Source organism: Homo sapiens, chromosome 11, assembly GCF_000001405.40.
Source record: "Homo sapiens chromosome 11, GRCh38.p14 Primary Assembly".
In the NCBI taxonomy this organism is placed as follows: Eukaryota; Metazoa; Chordata; class Mammalia; order Primates; family Hominidae; genus Homo; species Homo sapiens.
The window spans coordinates 991,832-1,012,595 of record NC_000011.10 but is presented as its reverse complement, the minus strand read 5'-3'; the positions used below and the strand labels follow the sequence as shown (position 1 = coordinate 1,012,595).

The window sequence follows — 20,764 nt, the reverse complement described above, 5'->3', positions numbered from 1 at the left end:
TCTGCCCGAGAGCCCCTTCTGCACCATCTGTGGTAGGATCAACTGGAGGATCCCCACGGGGCCTCCCGTTCCCCAGGAAGGAGCCCTGGGCTGCACCTCAACACACTGTACAGTGGGGAGCCCTGCGGCCAGGCTGGAGGGGTTCCCGCATGACCTGAGTCCCAAAAAGCTCCACCACACACCCAGAATCAAACCGGCGGAGCAAAGGGCAGGTCACTTTCTGATGCCCGCTGCCCGTGAGCCCACTGCTGAAGGACAGGTCGGGGACCTTGGGGTCTGTGCCTCACGCGACCCCCGGGGAGCTATGAGGGTTACATGGGATGCTTTCCCCCCAAAGAAAGCGCGTGATCCGGGGTGCAGTTCTAGCCTTTATTTTTCTTTGACGAGGAGTGCCACACTGAGGGCCCCTCTGCAGCGCCGCACAGGGAAGCGGTGCCTCGGGGAGCAGCCTTTCCTCTGATGGCGGGAGGGGTCAAGGGATGCAGGAGATCCACGGCAGCACACGCAGCCTGCAGGCGCAGCACACAGGCAGAGCACTGCCCAGCAGCTGGAACATGAGAATGAGGGCCACACCACCCAGCTGCAGCACAAGCCCAGCACGGCGTGTCACGGCACCTGGCACCACCAGACCCAGAATGGCCTGTGCGAGAGGCGCACGCCACTGACGTGGCTATGCTGTGATCAAAGCCCGACACGCCGGAAGAAGAGCCGCAGACATTGTGGGGTGCACACACTGCAGGGGAGCTGTGGAGACCCTGATGGGTCCATGAGCCCCTGCAGCTGCCCCAGGGACCCGCACAGCAGGCAACTGAGGGCCAGGGTGAAAACCCTCAAGCACATGTGGCCACCCACCCTCCCTGCCTCCACAGCATGTCAGGAAGCCAGAACCTGTGCTGGGTGTGTTTAGGACAAACAAGGCCACCATCCTGGGGACAGAGCGCAAGGCCCCAGCCTTGGCTCCTAGGCCGGCCCCACTCTCTCGCCTCTCAGGTGTCAGACGTGCAGCCTGGGTGCTGAGTCCAGATGACAGGTGAGACACAAGCCGCAGGTGGCACATGGCATGCGGCCAATGGCCCCTTCACTTCCTGACCACACAGAGGCGTCCCTCCTCCACAGCCCCTCCAGGGACGACTGGACGGGGCCGGTGGAAGGACTCAGGCCTGCACCGTGGCCTGGGGACGCCCACTCTGACAGGAAAGAGACGAGCACACCTCTGAGTCTTGCGCCACCGGCCCACACTTTACCCTGGAGTCCTGGGGGCCCTGCGGGGCCGGCAGGACGCTCCTCCCCTGGCTGCACATCCAAGGCCTCGGCGACTGCAGGAGCATAACAGACGCCCTTCACAAACAGGAGCTGGGAAAGGAGAACAGTTACATCCGGCCAGGACACGTGCTTTTGCCAGAAGTCATTACAAATACAAATGTTTCTAAATTCTAGATTAAAATCCTGCCTGGGAAAACAGTCCAGCTGGGACTGCAGCAAAACCAGGGTCAGCTGTGCTCCTCCCAAGGGCCCAGGACGACGCCAGGTGTGCAGCCACCAGGACGGCCACACACCAAGGCTCAGCCCACGCCATGCACAGTGGCACTGCTGCTCCCAGAGGCTCCGAGGCGGGGTGGGCGGCAGCACGGGCCATCTCAGTGACACTCCCACAAACGCCACGTTCACGCCAACTTCTAATTTCCCTTTAATTTGTAGATTTAACCACAGAACTGTCTCGATTTTTATAAAAATTGATCCCAAGATCCACCTTCTGCCGTGGCTGCCACAGTCCAGGCTGAGCTTTTCCTCCTGAGCCACACACGTGTGTTCCCGTCCAGCCCAAAGGGGAGAGGTGTGGGGCGGCGGGGCGGGGAGGCGCCTTGTGCTGTGGCACTGGACACGGTGCTCATCTGCAGGATGGCCACGAAGACAAACGGCACAGACGAAGACAACACAAGACACACGAGCCTGGTCTTCCATCCTCAGGACTAAAACTGCGCTGAGAGCAATTCACATAATCTCTGAGAAACGGCTTCCTTACTTGTGCGCAGCGTGAGCCGGTACATCTGAAACAGAGAGCACAGCAGGTCAACGGGCACGCCGAGGCTCACACAGCCCTCGGGTCCAGGATCCGCCATGCAGAACCCTGTGGGCCATGCCCAGGGACCACTCTCTGGAGGCACCCACAACTCGGCAGAGGCCTGAGCACCACACACACTGTCAGCATGAAAACTGAGGGCTGGCATGGGAGCGCCTGGCGTCTCGTACGTAGCTGGCGGGAGTGCAAAGTGGCACGGCCACCTGGAGAAGCTGTGGGATGTTCTTGCAGCACTAACCACACACAGGCCCTGGGCGACAGCAGCACTCCTGGGTGCCACCCAAGTGAAACGGAGACAGGTGTCCGTCGCCAGAACGGGACGTGGTGAGAAGGAACAACGCGGTGACAGAGAGGAACAGCTGGGAGAGCCACCGCCCAGGGCCAGGCTGCTCCATGGTGGGACGATGCTCCACGGTGGCCAGCTGTGGGGAGGCTGGGATGCAACCATGTATTGACAGGGTGGTGGTTAAACAGGCACACAACATCTGTCACAACTGACTGAACTGCACTAGGGATGATGCTCCACGGTGGCCAGCTGCGGGGAGGCTGGGAGGCAACCATGTATTGACAGGGTGGTGGTTAAACAACATCTGTCAAAACTGACTGAACTGCACTAAAGAGCTACACATCTCACCACGTACATTGTGCCAGAATAAAAAGCAACTCAAGTGTGTTCCACCATTTCCTGAGGGCCTGACCTGGGCTTGCAGGTTCGGCTCCAAGCGCAGCAGGCATCCAATCTGGGTGGTTTTCGTGTGGATGATTCCAGCTCCCACGAAATTCGCAGGATTAGGATCAACTTCTTCAAGAAGTGCAGAACCAAATCCAATGATCTGTCCAAAGAAACAGGAGAATGAGGACCCTGGCGCGGGGTCGCGGGCAGCGTGTCCCCCGGGGCCGCCCCTCCAGACCCTGGCGCTGGGTCGTGGGCTGCGTGTCCCCCGGGGCCGCCCCTCCAGACCCTGGCGCTGGGTCGCGGGCTGCGTGTCCCCCGGGGCCGTCCCTCCAGACCCTGGCGCGGGGTCATGGGCTGCGTGTTCCCCGGGGCCGTCCCTCCAGACCCTGGCGCGGGGTCACGGGCTGCGTGTCCCCCGGGGCCGTCCCTCCAGACGTGTTACCTTGGCTTTGGTGACTTCTGTGTCCATTGGGTGCTTTGCTTTGAAGATGTTCTGCACTTCCTGCTGTGGACTGTGAGAAACAGCAAAGGCGAGTGTTCTCAGCCAGGCCAGAGACCAAAACCCACCTTTTCAAATGAGCCCCGTCCCCACCCCTGACCCCTACAGGAAACAGGTTTCTCACTTGCTCAACTGCTTCCAACGTTGAAAGAAATCCTGAGAAGCCATTTCTGTCGGCTGGAAGAATTTGTTGAGAGTGATGGGCAGCTGCACAGACACGTTCTGGAAGGTGCCCCCATACCTGCCAGCAGCAGCAGCAGCAGAAAGAGACAGTCAGCTACTCCTCTGAGAGCCCCAGGGACCGGGAAAGAGCCTGGAGTGAGAAGCGTCCCGATCTACTGCCACCCACCAGAGCGGGTCGGGGGGCCGAGCCTTCAGTCCCCACGGATCGTGTGTGGCTCAGTGTCCAGTGTCACCCACAGACAGGAGGACAGGCCAGGGCCGCATACTCAGGCAGGACGTCCCTGTGCCTCACTTCTCCCCATTCATCTGTTTCCCAGAACTCCAAGTCTGTGCAAATAGTGTGATGTTTTTTCTTTAAAAAGGCAAAGGCATTTGCACAAAGAATGAAACAAAAACTTGCATGTCTATGTCCCCGAATTCTACAGTATACAATCTTAAGTTCTCTGTCTTTTTAATGTTAGAAAGTGTGCTTTTCTCAACATTCCTAACCTTGCAGACACCCAGCAGGGGACGGGCTGACTGTATCCACGCTATTTGTAGTCACTGAAAAGTGAGAGTAATGAACAGTCGCAACAGGAAAATCCTATGCTTTTAAAAAATAAGCAAAGTGGTACGATCTGAGCTCAACTGAGCAAAAAACGCGCCCCCCAGGCCAGGGGGCCGAAGGAAACCAGCTGCCTGCACCCCACAGCTGTCGTCTGGTACCAAGCCGGGCAGGTGGCGCGGGGGCCCTGGCTGTCTGCCACCCCATGAGGTGGGCCCCATGGTGCCCAGAAAGATCCTAGCAAGGCCCCATGTGGGAGCTGCCACCTGCCGTCCCGGAGCCCAGGGCTCCGCCTCCCCTTGTTTCCTGCGCTCTGCAGAGCCGGGGGCAGCAATAGCTCAGGCCGCATCCATGCACCGTGAGCACCCGCACGCCCCGGGTCCCCTCAGGAAGGACACGGAGGCACAGTCATGGAGCCCAGGCACACAGCTCAGGCGCCCACACACCCCTTGGCCCGGGGCGCACAGGCGGCTCTTACCTGAACTGAATGTTGAGGACTGGCGCCTCCGTGAAGTCGGACACGCACTCTATGTTGACCACCTGCTGCACCTGCGCGCCCCCCTCCACGGTCGGGTCCACGGGCTTGGTCTGCAGGTTCAGGTGTGCGTGCGTTAAGGAATCCAGCTGAGCAAGTCCCAGTGGCAGAAGCGGAAACGGGCCGGGCTAGAGCCCCAGCAGGACCCGTGGAGGCGAGCACACTCACCACACTCTAGGACCACCAGCTACGGGTCGAGGGCAGCCACACCACCCGGCCCTGCCCTTCCACCCAGACAATCCTCAAAACACTGTCTGCTTCTCACGCTTCCAGAATGGCTCCTCCATTTTAAAAAGTCACTTAGATTATATACTACTTGTCTGTTTTCACTCTGAGCCTCGGCTCTGGGTCTTACACACACAATTTTTGTCACCGTTAGCAGAAACTGGTGCTTAGTAGGGCAGGAAAACTTTAAGAATCCCAGGAATAGCAGGCTCCTGAAACAGCGAGACACAGAAAAGAGCCTGCCCTGCTGGGACCAGGGTTGTTTTCATGCTGGAAAACAAGGGTTTGCCTACAGCCTCTCCTGAAGAAACAGTGACAGCAGCAAAGCTGGGTCCAGGAGGCAGCGGGGTGCAGGCCTCTCCTTCCCTCTGGGTCGTGTGCCGCCGGCCACTCAGCTGCTGGGCTCGCTGCCGCCTCGAGCCAAGTGGACCCCGAGGGAGAGACCCCTAAAGAAGGGCGCAGTAGGAGTCAGAGCTTCCACTCCAGATTCCAAACAAAGTCTTTAATACAGGTGCTCCTGCATGTGTATTTTTAATGACTGTTTTGAAACAGCTTGAACAGTCTGCATTAAAACATGTTCATGTTAAAATGAACAGACCAGCCAGTGGCAAGGAGGATGTTGCTTCACTCAGGTCGCTGACCATAAATCCCCAGGTGTCACCATCTCTGGTCAAGCTGGGGTCTTCACGCTAACTCTATTTGGCGGGCCTATCCTTAGAGGTAGAGACGTTAGCGTCTCCCTGTTTTAGCTGGGGAAGTTCTAGGAACGCTTCTGGCATTACGAAGGGAAAATCTTCAGTCTAAAAGCTCTGCCAGAAGCACACACAAGCTCGGCTGGGGTGCGCACCGCGCTCCAGTCCCCACTGGCGCCTCCCACACTCTGCAAGCAGCAGCTCTGTGAGGCTTCGGAGAGGAGGGGTTTAAAGATCACGTCACAGGAGAGTAAGAGCAGGTGAAAAGGAAAGGGACTCACACTGGCCAGATGGAAGGGGAGGAGGCATGTACACGGTATTTTTAGGTGCATGATCAAAAGCTGGCTCTCCAATATGGAAGACTGCCTGTTTTCCTTCTCCTGCCCAGCACCATAGGCAGATTACGACTGCCTGATTTTCATATAGCATCTGGAATTATCTCGCTATTTTAACAAAATAAGAAAACCAAAAAACTTCCTCAAAAGCCTCCTCTAAGCCCCACATTATGCTGTCTGCGGGCATGGGGCAATGAAGCCAAGGATATTAGGCTGAAGGTCGTCTGAACAGATTAGTGTTGGGGTAAAGTTTAGGAACTGCGTGGAGGTCTTATTACCATAAAAGATAAACATCCGACCTAGAAGGAACAAAAACAATTTTTTCACACACACCATTTCACACTTACCCTGAATATTTACCCTGAAAAACAAGAGCCCCCCACAATCTTCAGCTGAATTTAAGTTCACTGTTGTGATGTATGACTGTTGTTAAAATTAAGAACAAATTTTTTCCAGTTTTAGAACGAGCACACCAGTGCTGGTAACACGGGCCGGGTATCTCCTCCAGTCAGAGGTAACTTCCGCCCTCCAGCACCCTCCTCCCTCGGCCCCTCCTGCGCACCCACACGGGATGGGTGAGATCACACGCATATGCACGGGGAAGGACCCACAGAACGCCCCGTCTGCAGGCTGGGCTACAGCTGGAGGGGCCTGCCAAGCATCTTTTCCAGGGACGCCACAATCACACAGGCCTCTGCCGGCCCCGCCCCATGACTGCAACATGCAAACACACGCACCGGCCCCGGCTGCCTCCTGTCAGGGGACCCGGCTGGGCACGCGTCCAGCACAGCATCGGTGTTGCACACTAGCCCTCACTGCAGCGGCTCAGCCACGGCACAGGTGCACATTTAGGATGTGTCGCTGTTTTTATTTATATCACAGTAAAAAATCTTTGTGAACATCTGTATACCCCTTGAATTCAGAAAGGAAATCTCAAATATTTTGAAAACAGTAAACAGTTTGGCATCACTCCTCCCACAATTTAAAAACCCAAAACCAACACCTCGTGAAGCTATCACGGCCCAGAGCTTAAAAACTTAAACCAGGACTAAAGGCACCACCTGTTTTCAATGCAGCGTTTCCCACAGGAATCACTCTGACAACCCTCACTTTTCTAACAGACCCCTGGCGGGCAGAGGACTAATTCTCTTTTTTCACATTCTTTCTGTGTTTTTCACAGATGAGAGAGAGAGCAGTCCTGAGGAGGCTCAAGGCAGGCGCTGAGAGGAGGCAGGTCCGCAGCCAGGGCCCCTGCAGCCACAGGGTTCCGTGCACAGCATTTTTTTACACTCAAAGGCTTTTTTATGTCTTTCTCCTAAATTGTGGTAAAATACACTAACATTCACCTTCCTAGCCATATTTAGGTGCACACAAGGGCACAGGAAGTGCATCCACACTGTGCAGCTGCTGCCACCACCACCATCTCCAGAACGTTCTCATCTTCCCAAACGGAACTCTGTCCCCATTAAACACCAATTCCCCATCCCCCTGGCCTAGGCCCTGGCATCCCCCAGCTACGTTCTGTCTCTACGAAGTCACTGCTCTAGGGACCGCATGAGTGGAGCCACACAGGATTTGTCCAGGTGTCTGGCCCGTGTCACTGAGCACCATGTCCTCAAGGTGCATGTGTGCTGCTTTATGCATCAGAATTTCATTCCTTTCTGCCGTTTGATGGCTGAATAATATTCCACTGCGTCGACAGACCACATTTCGTTTAATTAGGCATCCACCCATGAACATCTGGGCTGTTTCTAACTTTCGGTGATTGTGAATAGTGCTGCCATTGGACATGGGTGGACAGGTACCTCTTTAAGACCCAGCTTTCAATTCTCTGGGGTCTGTACCCAGACGTGGAACTGCTGGGTCACAGAGTAATTCCATCTTCTTTTGTGTTCTGAGGAACTTCCCACAGTGCCCGCACTACTGTACATTCCCACCAGCGGCGTACAAGGCTCCAACGTCACCACGCCCTGCAGACACTCTTTTTCCTTTTTGGTTATTTATGCATACATAAATAATGATGTATGCATTATTTATGAATGAATGAATGAACGACAGGGTCTCGCTCTGTTGCCCAGGCTGCAGTGCAGTGGCAAGATCTCAGCTCACTGCAGCCTCAAACACCTGGGCTCAAGCGATCCTCCCACCTTTGCCTCCCAAGTAGCTGGGACCACAGGTGTGCACCAGCACGTCTACCTAATTTTTGTATTTTTTGTAGAGATGGGGTCTCACAATGTTGTGCAGGCTGGTCTCAAACACCTGGGCTCAAGTGACCCTCCCACCTCGGCCTCCCAAAGTGCTGGAATTATAGGCCTAAGTCACCAGGCCACCAGGCCAGTCTGTTTATTTATTTATTTACAGAGTCTCACTCTGTTGCCCAGGCTGTAGTGCAGTGGCATGATCTTGGCTCACTGCAACCTCCGCCTCCCAGGTTCAAGTGATTCTCCTGCCTCAGCCTCCCAAGTAGCTGGGACCACAGGCACACACCACTACACCCAGCTAATTTTTGTATTTTTATTAGAGACAGGGTTTCACCATGTTAGCCAGGCCAGTCTCGAACTCCTGGCCTCAAGTGATCTGCCTGCCTCGGCCTCCCAACATGCTGGGGTTACAAGCGTGAGCCACTGCACAGGCTGCTTGTTTGTTTTCTAACAGCCATCCTGGAGGGGTGAGGTGGTAGCTCACTGTGGTTTTGATTGGCACTTCCCTCGTGACTTTGTCCATCTTTTCAGGTGCTTATTGAGCATTCCTGTATTTTCCCTGGAGAATGTCGTCTTTTCAACAACTTTGCACCCACCCCCACCTCCCCGCCACCCCCTCTGGTTGTAGAGATGGGGTCTTGATGTGTTTGCCCAGGCTGTTCTTTTGCCCATTTTTTAATTGGGCTGCTTTCTTACTGAGTTATGGGAGTTCTTTTTATATTCTGGATATCTATCCCTTATAAGTATATGATTTGCAAATATTTTCTCTTAATTTCCCATATTTCTAAGAGACAGTTTCATTAAGTAATTAAAACACATACCTAAATTCTGCCGAAATTCAGACTTAAGTCCAATTTGAAGCAGCTGGTTTTCAAACAACACACCATTGTTTTTACAAACAAACCTAGGGGAAAAGGGACAGTATATGTGTCACTCAAAGCCACCTGCAGAAAACACAAGGGTTTGTTCTGGAAAAAAACTCACAGCACGAGGAGGCCAGAAAAACCTCTATGGCACACAAGGGAAGAAAAAAGTGGAAACTATTCCAAGGACTATCCTGACAAACAGCCACTGGAGGAGGACGGTGAGCAGGACGCAGGGACGCGGACACAGCCCCGGCAAGACCTGTGAAGTTGGTTGGTGCAGCTGCTTTTCAGGAACATGCTGGTCCACATGTAACGGCCTCTCACGGCCCCAGAAGGGACACGGGCGTGAGGCACGCACACAGCTTCTGGCCCCACCACAGACTCCATCCAACACGGGTGCTGAGCTTCCACCCAGCGAGGGCCTCGCCATCAGAGCCTGGCTGCTCCCCGCTGATGCACACGCATGCACGGGCACCCAGCCATCCACCCACCAGCAGCACAGCCCTGCAGGGCCCTGGGCGCCCCCATCTCCCCTCTGGCCTCTCCTCTCGCCCCATGCGTGGTTAGTGTCTACACCGCACAGGGAGCCCAGGGTTTTGCTCACCACAGGGCACCTATCTACACTACACAGAATTAGGGGAAAATAAAATAGCGTTGGTTAGCTTTCATTTGTGTTTCTCTCAGAAGAGCTTCAAGTTTTCTGACCTCCTCTAGGAAACTGTAACTCCACAGTGACCTAGATCCAAAAGAGAGGAGAGGGAGGCGGGGCAGTGGCACAGGGCTCCTGGGTGAACCCAGCACAGAGATGGATGTGGCACTGATTCAAACCACAGGGTGGGGAGGCAGGAGGTCATGGCACCGCCCCCTCCCTCCAACCCACCCCAGTGCCTAAGAAGCAAATGCTGCACGGCAGCAGCCTAATTCTGAAATCTCCACCTCCACCTGTGCTGACATGGCGGCGATCAAGGTCAGCCACTCCTGCAGCCAGTCTCCACTAACTGCACCACAGCTGCCACCCTGGAAGGTCTGAGTGCTGCCAACCTTCTCATCGGCATCCTGCTGTATGGAGACCAGGCCAGGAAGACAGAGGAAGCAGCAACAGACGGCAAGGGGCAGTGACAGGCGGCCCTTGGCTCGCTCTTGGGGCCAGGAGGGCGCTGCTCGCCACGCAATGCCCCACTCCAGCCTGCCACGGCCACGAGAGCCGCTGAGGCAGCAGTCCCTGCGCACACCTCTGGAGGCCACAGCCGCCCCCTGCACAGCCCGGCAGGCTGCTGGTCCGGCTGCAGCCACATGCGAAGCTTCAAAAAGTCAAGTGTGGTCTAAGCAACACACAACACAGGACAGCGATCCACAACACAGCCTGGAACATGTCTACTGGGCTTCACCTGGGACTGCTCACAGCAGGCGGCTAACAAAGCAGAGATCGCTTAACAGGAGGAGCCGGCCGAGGCGGAGGTCCACGTGCTCACCGCACCCCCGGGTCGCTGCTCCGCCCACAGCCAGCGGGCACTCCACGCGAGGGGCCACGGAGTTTACACTCAGGGTGTGGACTAAGCCACTTTAAAGTAAAATCTGTCAAGAACACGGGAGGGGCTCTGACGGACCACCCATGACGTGACAGAGAGGCCCTTGTGGTCAGTATCTCTGCTTGGTTCATCCCAACTACAACCTGGCCTGGAGGAATCTTTGGGGAAAATGCAAACCACTCTGCAAGGCCATGAGAATGCAGCCGCCCTGTCCTGTGAGCCGTGTGCCAGCAGCCACCACAGCCGGCTCGCCCTGAGGCACTCTGTGCCTCCATCCTACACCAAACACACGCAGACACCTGATGACCCTCTGTAGCCAGATCAAAGCCAAGACGGCCGCATGCACAAGAGCCCCGAGGCCTGGCCAGCTGCAGACAGCGCCACCCAATGTGAGGCGTGCACAAGGGCCATGTGCAGCTCCCAGCACAGCCGTATGGAGACAGGGCAGGCAGCGCCCAGCAGGGAAGGGCCACGGCTGCCACGGACTGCCCAGCCCCTGGTCCCTTCCTGCCACCAAGACACTGAGGAGCAGCCACCACCAGAGCCCTGCAACCTGGATTCTCAATCTCAAACACAGCGACTCTAAGAGCAGTAAGACTGTTTTCAGCCCAAGCGGCGACCTGCACCCACCACCACGCCGGCCTGCCTCTCCTAAGTCCTTTCCCAACACGTAACAGGAAACAGAACTCACGTGCAACATGAATACAAAGAACTGAAAAACACCAGAACTCTATTACAGTCTTCAAAATGGGGGGCCAAAAGGCCATTCCTCAAAGGCTCTCTAACCTCCATCTGGGACAGAAACCGGCACCTGCGCTCCCACCCCACAGGGCAGCAGGGGAGAGGCGTCAACTCCAGGAAAGGGGGCACCTCAGACCTCCGGCCAGACATGAAAACAAGCAGATGGCTGAGAGCAGCCAGTAAGCGGAATGCACAGCTGATGAGCCCAGCAGAGAGGGCTGGGGAGAGCACGTGCGGGGGAAAGTGGTCAGCACCGACGATCTGAAGACCACGGAGACACTGGCAGAGACCACTGCACACAGGGAGCCGGGAGGTGCCCAGGCACCGGACAGAAATTAGAGCAGGACAAGCAGCAAAGACAGGCTGCCCTCAGGGGGAACCACAGGGTGGAGGCCGAAGGCGTGAGCAGGGTGGGCCTCACAGAAGGACTTAGCAAGTGAGCAACTCAAGGACAAGAGACCGGGCCTCCAGGACAGACACAGACAAGACGGCTTAAGTCAGAATGAAAAGCAGCCCAACTAGACAGGAAAGAGGCGAAGAGAGGAGACGTGTAGCTACAAAGAGTGTTTATCAACACTCAAACAGCAGCTGAAACATGATCGGACATCACCGTGCAGACAGGACACAACCACCACCCAGACAGTGTGTTTCTTTCATGTCCTCCTTTTCCTCCTGAGAGTAATGAACACTGCAGTCCATATAAATCAAGGTTGTGAGAGGAATGACACAGCAAACCCACCCACAACACAGCAGCTCCCGCTCTCTCCCCCAGGCAGTAATCTGGGAGGTAAACTCCGCTGCCCACCTCTGTCCAGCTGGCCGCGGCCACACCAGAAGTCAGGGGGCACGGCAGCCCCGTGCCTGTCTGCAGGACTCAGGAAACCTGACTACCTGGCAAAGTTGTCTTCGGAGCCAGGAGCGAGAGGCGCGACCACAGAGGCCGAGTCTGAGAACACGTCCACGAGCAGCCCGCTGCCGCCGGAGGAGGGTGGGGGGCCCGCGGGGGCAGGGGGGGCAGCCCCGAGACCCAGCAGGTCTGCCGACGGAGAAGGCGTAGACTGGAAGAGAAGGAAGGAGAGCATCAGCAGAGAGCCTCCCTGGCCTGGCCAACCCCAGGCAGCTCACGCCTGCACGTCCTCCCCCATGGCACCCCCTTGGCATCCATGCACTCCCAGTGGCTGGGGCAGGTGGCACACAACTCAGTGAGTGACCAGAGAGTGAGGGCTAACAGCCACTTCCTGAGTATATCCCAGACTCCAGCCTAAAGATAACTGCACTTAAAACATCAGTCATAATTTCACTAAGGCACCCTACATTTTTTCACAAATGCTATTTGAATGAAAAAAATTCTCAAAAAAATTTTGCCATGAAAGACATAAAAAAAGGCCAGACGCGGTGGCTCACACCTGTCATCCCAGCACTTTGGGAGGCCGAGGTGGGCGGATCACGAGGTCAGGAGATCGAGACCACCCTGGCTAACACGGTGAAACCCCATCTCTACTAAAAAATACAAAAAAAATTAGCCGGGCGTGGTGGTGGGCGCCTGTAGTCCCAGCTACTCGGGAGGCTGAGGCAGGAGAATGGTGTGAACCCGGGAGGCGGAGCTTGCAGTGAGCCGAGATCGCACCACGGCACTCCAGCCTGGGCGACAGAGCGAGACTCCATCTCAAAAAAAAAAAAAAAAAAGAAAGAACTAAGATCATGCATGTTACTGCCAACTGTCCAATAAGAAAGTAAGCTTCCAAAGATGAAAAAGCAAATAACTTACTCGGGTGCATTATTAATCATTAAATTATTACTAAATCATTATTAATCATTAAAAGTCTACAGAACGGATACTTTTAAAAAATAATTGCTTTTTGGCTGGGCATGGTGCCCCACACCTGTAATCCCAGCACTTTGGAAGGTTGAGACAGAAAGACTGCTTGAGTCCAGGAGTTTAAAACTAGCCTGGGCAACATAGCAAGAGACTGTCTCTGTTTTTGTTTTTTTTGAGACAGTCTCACTCTATTGCCCAGGCTGGAGTGCACTGGTGTGGGCTCACTGCAACCTCCACCTCAAGCGATTCTCCTGCCTCAGCCTCCCAAGTAGCTGGGATTACAGGTGGCCGCCATCACGCCCAGTTAATTTTTGTATTTTCAGTGGAGACAGGGTTTCACCATGTTGGCCAGGTTGGTCTCGAACTCTTGACCTCAGGTGATACGTTCACCTCGGCCTCCCATGAGCCACCGCACCCGGCCCCAGTAATTGCTCTTTGATCCTGGGGCAAAGGCACAAGGAAAGAGCGCCTATGATCTCATGATTAAACTCTCACAACAGGGCACAAGCAGCAGCTCAGTCCATCGCATGCTCACCCATCCAACAGGGCAGCAGGCTCCCCAGCAATGCCCCAGCAGCCTGACTTTGGGAGCTCAGACCTGCTCTGGGCTCCACGGGTCCTGCCCCACAGCAGCCTGTGCACCAGAGGGACTCAGATGCTCCCTATAAAAAGGACACCCAGCCTGGCACGGTGGCTCACACCTGTAATCCCAGCACTTTGGGAGGCCGAGGGGGGCAGATCCCAAGGTCAGAAGATTGAGACCATCCTGGCCAACATGGTGAAACCCCGTCTCTACTAAAAATACAAAAATTAGCTGGGTGTGGTGGCACACGCCTGTAATCCCAGCTACTCAGGAGGTGGAGGCAGGAGAACTGAAACCAGGAGGCGGAGATTGCAGTGAGCCAAGATCGTACCACTGAACTACAGCCTGGCAACACTCACACTTTGACACTATACACCAGGGGCTCTTGGTGGAGAAACCCCCCACCCAGCTAAGAGCGTTCTGGAGATGTGGAGGGCTCTGACTATCACAAGGATATTGGCATTTCACAGGCAAAAAACAGAGACACAAGACACCCTAACTTGAAGATTCGTCTTGAGTAACTTTAGAATGTTCCACTGGACATCTAAGAAGGTAAAAAATTAGTTTGTAATTATCTGAGACTCCACCTGAATGCCATTTTACATTAATGCAAAGTTAAGGTGTCACACTGTACTTTCAAAAAAACTACATGTGTGGGTTTGTGATATATGAATTTTACTCAAAGATAAATGAGGCATCACAAAGTGTGTTATGCAAAAAAGGTGCAGGTCAGAATGGGGGCGGGGGGTCAGAATGGGGGCGGGTGAGAGTCAGAATGGGGATTGGGGGGCAGTCAGAAACGGGGCAGGCTCCCAGGCTCTGCTCTTGTGACGGAGCACCTCTGCAAGAGAAGACGACACGGGTCTCATGTGCTCCAAGGGTGGGAGGTCACAGAGGAGCTGGCAGAGAAGAGTCCCAAAAATATCCAAGGCGTGTCTCGATGAGACCATCTGAAGGCGGCGCTTTGCTCCCTACGCCGGGGACAGCGCCCGCCAACACTGTGGCCTCCACAGCCTGACAAAGCTGTGAGCTGCGTGGGAAGCCATCGGCCTTGGCCATGGCCATGCACCTGCAGCCCAAATGGAGACAGTTTCTCCTCTGCATCTCATCACAGATGTTACCCTGGTTCCTGCACTGATTCAAATACATCTATGGCTTTTATTTTATTTTATTTTATTTTTTTGAGACCGAGTCTCACTCTGTTACCCAGGCTGGAGTGCAGTGGTGCAATCTCAGCTCACTGCAACCTCCGCCTTCTGGGTTCAAGCAATTCTCCTGCCTCAGCTTCCCGAGCAGCTGGGATTACAGGCACACACCACCACACCTGGCTAATTTTTGTATTTTTAGAAGAGACGGGGTTTCACCATGTTGGCCAGGCTGGTCTCAAACTCCTGACCTCAAGTGATCCGCCCACCTCAGCCTCCCAAAGCGCTGGGATTACAGGTGTGAGCCACCATGCCCAGCCATCTATGGCTTTTAACTGCTTTCTAAAGTAGGAAAGCCCTTTGCCCTAGTAAAGGCATTTGTACCTGAAACGTTACCACAGATTGTAACAGCGAGGCCAGATGCAAGGCCCCAGGACAGTAGGGTCCTAACACCCACTTCAGGTTCTTCATCTTCCTTATCCTCTCAGGCCTGGGAGACCCTCCTCAGGGAGCAGGCCTGGCTCCTGGGCCACACCAGTTCACCTCCTCCCTCCAATAGCAGGACAACTTGAGGGGTGAAGGTTTTGCCTACAAGGGCCCCAGGCTCCTGCATGTGAAGCCAGGCAGCCTCTGATCCCCACACCCCTGTGCTCCCCAGCACACCCGGGGACACGCACACCACAGCCTCCCCCAAGGAGCTGTGTGCAGAAAGAGGATGCTCGGAAGAAGTAAAATGTCCTGGCCTCATCTATGATGTTAAATAAAAGACATTTTGGCCAATGTGACACCAAGATAAAGCCACTGTCTCTCGTGGGAAAGGCACATGTGCTGATGCCACCCTGAGGCCCCTTCACGGCCCATACAGAAGACCCTGAGCAAGAAAACTTCGCCAGGAGTGTCTCCCCATAGGGAGGGGCCTCTCACTGGGGCTCCCGTGAGCAATGGGAACAGATTGGAAAGCACAGGATAGCAATGACACCCACACACCATAGCTCTCGGTCAGAACAGAGGGGCCCACACACCACAGCTCTCGGTCAGGACGGAGGCGCCCACACACCACAGCTCTCAGTCAGGACGGAGGTGCCCACACACCACAGCTCTCAGCTCAGAACAGAGCTGCGTGCCTCGGCCACAGACACCTCCCTAAGGAACCCACCCGCCAGGCACCACTGACCATCAGGAGTGAAGCCACACTCAGAAAATCCACTGAATGAGCCCTGAAGGGGGAACTCCCTCCAAGAAGGCACCTTACAGAAATGCTGAACCTCACTGGACCCTCATCCTCCTTTTCAGAGGGCAGCACACTGCTCTCACTCCCAGGGTCCAGAAGCTTCCATCTGATCCCTAAGCCACACAGTCAAGGCCAGGCCCTCCAAAGTCCACCCTGAGCCTAGCCGGACAAACCTGGGTGTGATCAAAGGCCTGGGGTATGGGCACACCTCACTTCTCAGGACCCACATTAAAAAGAAACATCAAATAAGAACCAAAGAGAGACTGAAGACAATCCTACAGCCCCTTTCCATGCTCCCTCAGCGAGTTCCTCTTAACGTCAAAGCAGCTGGAGGGGAGCGAGAGCACCTGGTGCCTTCCCAGCTTCCAACAGGCAATCCCAGGTTTCCGTGGAAGACTTCACAGTGCCCTTGCTGAAAGCCGGCCTCCAGGAATCCCTGCACACCAGCCTCCCCTGGATCACGTCATCCTGCCCTCGCCTCCTCACCCAACTGGGGCCGCGTCCTCCTCTCTGCAGGGCGGAGCCGCTGCCGGCCCAGCACCCACGGGAAGGCCCCTGCTCCGGCAGCTCACAGACAAATCTCCACAAGCAAGTTTCTGCCTCCAGAAACCTATGTCAAGATGTCCAAAGGAGAGGGAGAGATGGATTAGAGGAGTGACAGAGGCCTGCTGCACTAGGCGCCTGGCTAGTGACGTCCCACGGGAGGAGACAGGGTCAAAAGCAGGTCACCAGCTCTACAGAGCACATGAGAAACATAAGCATGAAGGTGCTCAGGCGTGAAGGGAAGACGCCCACCTTGGGAGAAAGAGTCACATCTTTCATTCATTTCATTCACTCCAGGATGAGCTCACAGGCAATTCAAGCCTCCAGATGGCGGGCACAGCAGCGTGCCACAAACAACACAGAGAGAGGGCACGGGGGGACAGGGGCTGCACAGAGGACACTAGGTGGAGGGAGGGGAGAGGGAGGAAGAGGGGGAGGGAAGACTGCTCATTGAGATGTCAGGCTCAGCCTGGATACCAGCCCCATGGCAGGCCCTGCACTGTCGGCCAGAGGGGCAGGACACATGGTCAGCCGGGGCACATAAGCAGGTCCCCGCCAAGGAGTGCCAGGACTCCGACATGAGCACCCTCCCAACCAGCACACTGCCAGGGCAGGCACCACCACAGGAGCTCACCCCACAAAGCCCTGCCGATACTGGGTAGCAGCACTGGTTGCCACCACTGGACCTGCGTCCTGGAGAGACAGGTCCTCTAACTGGACAAACAGAAAGCCCGCCTGACCCCGACAGGAGCCCTCCCTGACAGTGCAGAGGGGAACAGCTGGCAAGCAGAGCCAAGCAAAAACGCAACTCTCAAAACGACACTTCTCACCTGACAAATACCACAGGACACATTCTGTTACAGGATTATTCTCATCGCATCACACATACAAGGAAAACCAGACCTAACCCAACTCACTACATAAAACCTCGAAGAGCAGGGCAGGACAGGTCCTCTCTAAATCAACAAAGCATGTGAGGACAGCTGCCTGGGTGAGGCAGTCCTGTAGGAGAGGGGACGGCCACTTCCCCTAAAACAAGGCACCACAGAGGATGTGTGAGCTGAGCTGGACAAGACGACGGTCTGAAGGAAGTGCCTTGCCCAGCAGGCACAGTGGCCCCCGGGAGAGGACAGCGGGGTGTGCAGCAGGGACAGTGGCCCCCGGGACAGGCCAGAGGGGCGTCCAGCAGGGACAGTGGCCCCCGGGACAAGCCAGCGGGGTGTGCAGCAGGGACAGTGGCCCCCAGGACAGGCCAGGGGGGCGTCCAGCAGGGACAGTGGCCCCCGGGACAGGCCAGCAGGGTGTGCAGCAGGGACAGTGGCCCCCGGGACAGGCCAGGGGGGCGTCCAGCAGGGACAGTGGCCCCCGGGACAGGCCAGCAGGGTGTGCAGCAGGGACAGTGGCCCCCGGGACAGGCCAGGGGGGCGTCCAGCAGGGACAGTGGCCCCCGGGACAGGACAACGGGGCGTCCAGCAGGGACAGTGGCCCCCGGGACAGGCCAGGGGGGCATCCAGCAGGGACAGTGGCCCCCGGGACAGGCCAGCAGGGTGTGCAGCAGGGACAGTGGCCCCCGGGACAGGACAACGGGGCGTCCAGCAGGGACAGTGGCCCCCGGGACAGGCCAGGGGGGCGTCCAGCAGGGACAGTGGCCCCCGGGACAGACAGCGGGGCGTCCAGCAGGGACAGTGGCCCCCGGGACAGGACAGCGTGGCGTCCAGCAGGGACAGTGGCCCCCAGGACAGGACAGCAGCGTGTCCAGCAGGGACAGTGGCCCCCAGGACAGGACAGCGGGGTGTCCAGAGCCACAGCCAGAGCCTGGGTTCTCAGTACATGCTCCTCCCTGACAGGCAAATGCTCTGCTGGTCCCAAGTCTTGGGGGTGAGGCCCTGACAGGTCTGGGTGCACAGTAGGTGAGGGACCCACCACGGCGCTGGTACTGGCTGGGGCAGGCTCAGGACCCCCGTTCACGTCCACACTCCTGTCCCGCTTGGTGTCCTCCAGGTCTGTCACCGTGCTGGGGCCCTTCTTCTTCTTGAGCTTTGCCAAGATGGAGGACTCCCGCTCCGGGAATGGGGGCATCTCCTCCAGCACGGTCGCCTTGGAAAGAACACAGGGTGGGACTGGTCAGAGCTCCTGGCCTCCAACCCTCAGCCAAGCCAGCCCGAAGGGCGGGGGCCTCCTACCAGAATGTCGGTGCTGGCCACGGTGCTGAGCCGCAGGTACTCCACAGCACGCTGCTGCAGCTCCACGTCTGCGTTCCTGAGCTGGCTGTCGCTGCGCAGCACGTCCTGGATGGTGGGCTTCACCTCCGGGAAGAGGTTCACGAACTTGATGTAGGTGGACAGGAGCAGCGCGCGGGTGGGGACGCTGCACAGGTGGAACTTGGAGTGCAGCAGGTGGAACTGGATCAGCGGGCTGGGGACGGGGAGGCACAACACAGGGACACCGTCGTCCCCTCGCAGGCTGCAGCACGCCCCCGCGGGGGGGGGACGGCGGCGAGACCCCCTGGCCTGCACCAGAGGCCGCTGGTCGGGACCCTCTTCCAGCTCCAGATCCCACCGCAAAGACGCCCCTTTCACTAAGTCAGCCATCAACCCCACGTCTCCATTTTCTACTAGAATCCCTGCTTTTTCTATCAACTGAAGGAAAACAAAAAGACGCCGATGGGGAGCAGAAGCGGCTCTGCGAGGCCTCACGGCAGGGCCAGCTGGTGCCTCGCCTCTTGCCACCGACCACCGAGAGGCCCGCCGGAGCGCACACAGCCCCGACTCGCAAAGGGCCTCTCACCTGGATCTCGGGTCTCCAGCTATCAAGTTTCCAAACTCCCCCAGGATGTAGCCGCCCACTTTGACCAGGTTCTCGTGGCACGCGGGAGCCTGAAGAGCCTGCGAAGCACAAACAATGAGCCGGGGTGGCAGCCAGGTGCCAGAGTTAAGGCGAGGCGGGCACGTCCTGGCGCGGTGCACCCTACACCAGCACCAGCCCCTCAGCTTCCTGGAGACCCCAGTCCAAGTGCCCATCCCTGCCTTCCTCAGCACCCTCAGTACCTGTGTCAGCAGCAAGGAACCCAAGGCTGCCACACGCTGACCTGCCCTGGAGGGAGCTGCAGCATCCACAACAGGCTCTGGCTGGGGAGGTTCTGCCAGCGTCCTCATGGCACACCCCTTGCCGGTGGCCTAACCCTCTCCGACGGACAGGGCAGGCCCCACCACGGCATGCCCCAGCATGCTCTCACACACACAGAGGCCGGCTTTCTCAGGTGGCCCCCAGAGAGCCAGAAGTTTGAGAGTTAGGGTGAGAAGAAACTGGGACTCAGCAAGGGGCACCAACAGTGGAGGAGCTAGAGCCTCAGGGAAGAGCTGAGGGGCAAGAGGGGTCAGCAACGGCCCTCGGCACCTCCACGCAGGCAGGCTGGAACCACTCACTGCTCACCTTCTGCAACTGCCCTCCACCCCATCCTTCCTGCCATCCTGCGGGCCATACCTCGAACACAGTCTTGGCCGCGTAGCCCTGCACGTCGTCCCGGTTGATGACGATCTGAATGACTCGGTACCACACCTCTTCACTCACGTAATCACCAGCAATTCGGATCAAGTTCAAGATGGTATCCACATACCAGGTGTAGTCCACCGCGTACTTCTCAGCCAGGATGGCGACCTTCAGCACCTGTGGGGGACAGGCTGCTGAGGGCCGGCACCTGCAGGCCATGGCAATCCCAAGACCAAACTGTCGTCCAAAGTCAAAGTGAGAGTTTCAGAAGCACCTCAATGTGTCTACAAAAGTTTGGGACATGGAGGAAGCTTGAACTCGATTCTCAAAAAAGCCCACGAGCCCAGAAAGTTTAAGATGCCCTGACTTAAGCAAAGAAAGCCAGGAAGAGGCGGAGACCAGTGCACAGAAGGCCACGGCCACAGCCAGGCCACCTCCCACCTGGGCCCTTCTCTCCCAAAGCCCCAGCACCTGGCGGCAGCACTCCTCTGACCTCATCACCCTAGGCTCCCGGTGGCAGCACTCCTCTGACCTCTGACTGCGCCACCCTGGGCTCCCGGCGGCCAGTGACTGCGCCACCCTGGGCTCCCGGCGGCCACTTCTCTGCTGGTTTCTTCCGGCTCTGGCCAGTCTTTCCTGCGAGCCTCACCTGGGGGTTCCCCTTCTTCCCCTCTCTGGCTCACTCTCACGGGTGCCCCCCGGAGGCACCTGCCCAGCCCACACCCACGTGGCAGCCACCCACATGGAGCTCTGCCAGGCTGTACAACACCAAACTCATCTCCCCAAAGTCACCTCGCCTGGAACCAAGCCCCCTTCGAACAGCGCCAGCTGCCAACACCAACGCCAGC

General features: G+C 56.9%; 1 protein-coding gene across 12 annotated transcripts in view, besides 1 other annotated feature; it reads right to left on the bottom strand.

Moving 5' to 3' along the window:
- The window catches only part of AP2A2 (adaptor related protein complex 2 subunit alpha 2), an 86,371-nt gene continuing 65,962 nt past the window's right edge, over nucleotides 356-20,764 (bottom strand). For 9 of the 12 annotated variants that reach the window (XM_047426480.1, XM_047426479.1, NM_001242837.2 and 6 more), the window contains 12 exons: nucleotides 19,911-20,093; nucleotides 19,215-19,312; nucleotides 18,611-18,842; nucleotides 18,351-18,524; nucleotides 11,998-12,164; nucleotides 8,792-8,874; nucleotides 5,979-6,068; nucleotides 4,461-4,584; nucleotides 3,380-3,496; nucleotides 3,199-3,268; nucleotides 2,779-2,913; nucleotides 356-2,048 (listed from right to left, as the gene is read on the bottom strand). In XM_047426480.1, coding sequence (XP_047282436.1) covers nucleotides 1,971-2,048; nucleotides 2,779-2,913; nucleotides 3,199-3,268; nucleotides 3,380-3,496; nucleotides 4,461-4,584; nucleotides 5,979-6,068; nucleotides 8,792-8,874; nucleotides 11,998-12,164; nucleotides 18,351-18,524; nucleotides 18,611-18,842; nucleotides 19,215-19,312; nucleotides 19,911-20,093 — 1,551 coding nt within the window. In that variant the 3' untranslated portion in view covers nucleotides 356-1,970. Of the gene's footprint in view, nucleotides 2,049-2,778; nucleotides 2,914-3,198; nucleotides 3,269-3,379; nucleotides 3,497-4,460; nucleotides 4,585-5,978; nucleotides 6,069-8,791; nucleotides 8,875-11,997; nucleotides 12,165-16,402; nucleotides 16,495-18,350; nucleotides 18,525-18,610; nucleotides 18,843-19,214; nucleotides 19,313-19,910; nucleotides 20,094-20,764 lie in introns of those variants that run through there. The other 3 variants (NR_144510.2, NR_144509.2, XM_011519930.4) reach the window with 2 other exon arrangements.
- Nucleotides 17,788-18,312: an enhancer, noted in NCBI's record as "H3K4me1 hESC enhancer chr11:994284-994808 (GRCh37/hg19 assembly coordinates)". NCBI's record gives its function as "activates a minimal SCP1, AML or CMV promoter by ChIP-STARR-seq in primed H9 embryonic stem cells {active_cell/tissue: H9 hESC(primed)}" and the evidence as "EXISTENCE:reporter gene assay evidence [ECO:0000049][PMID:30033119]".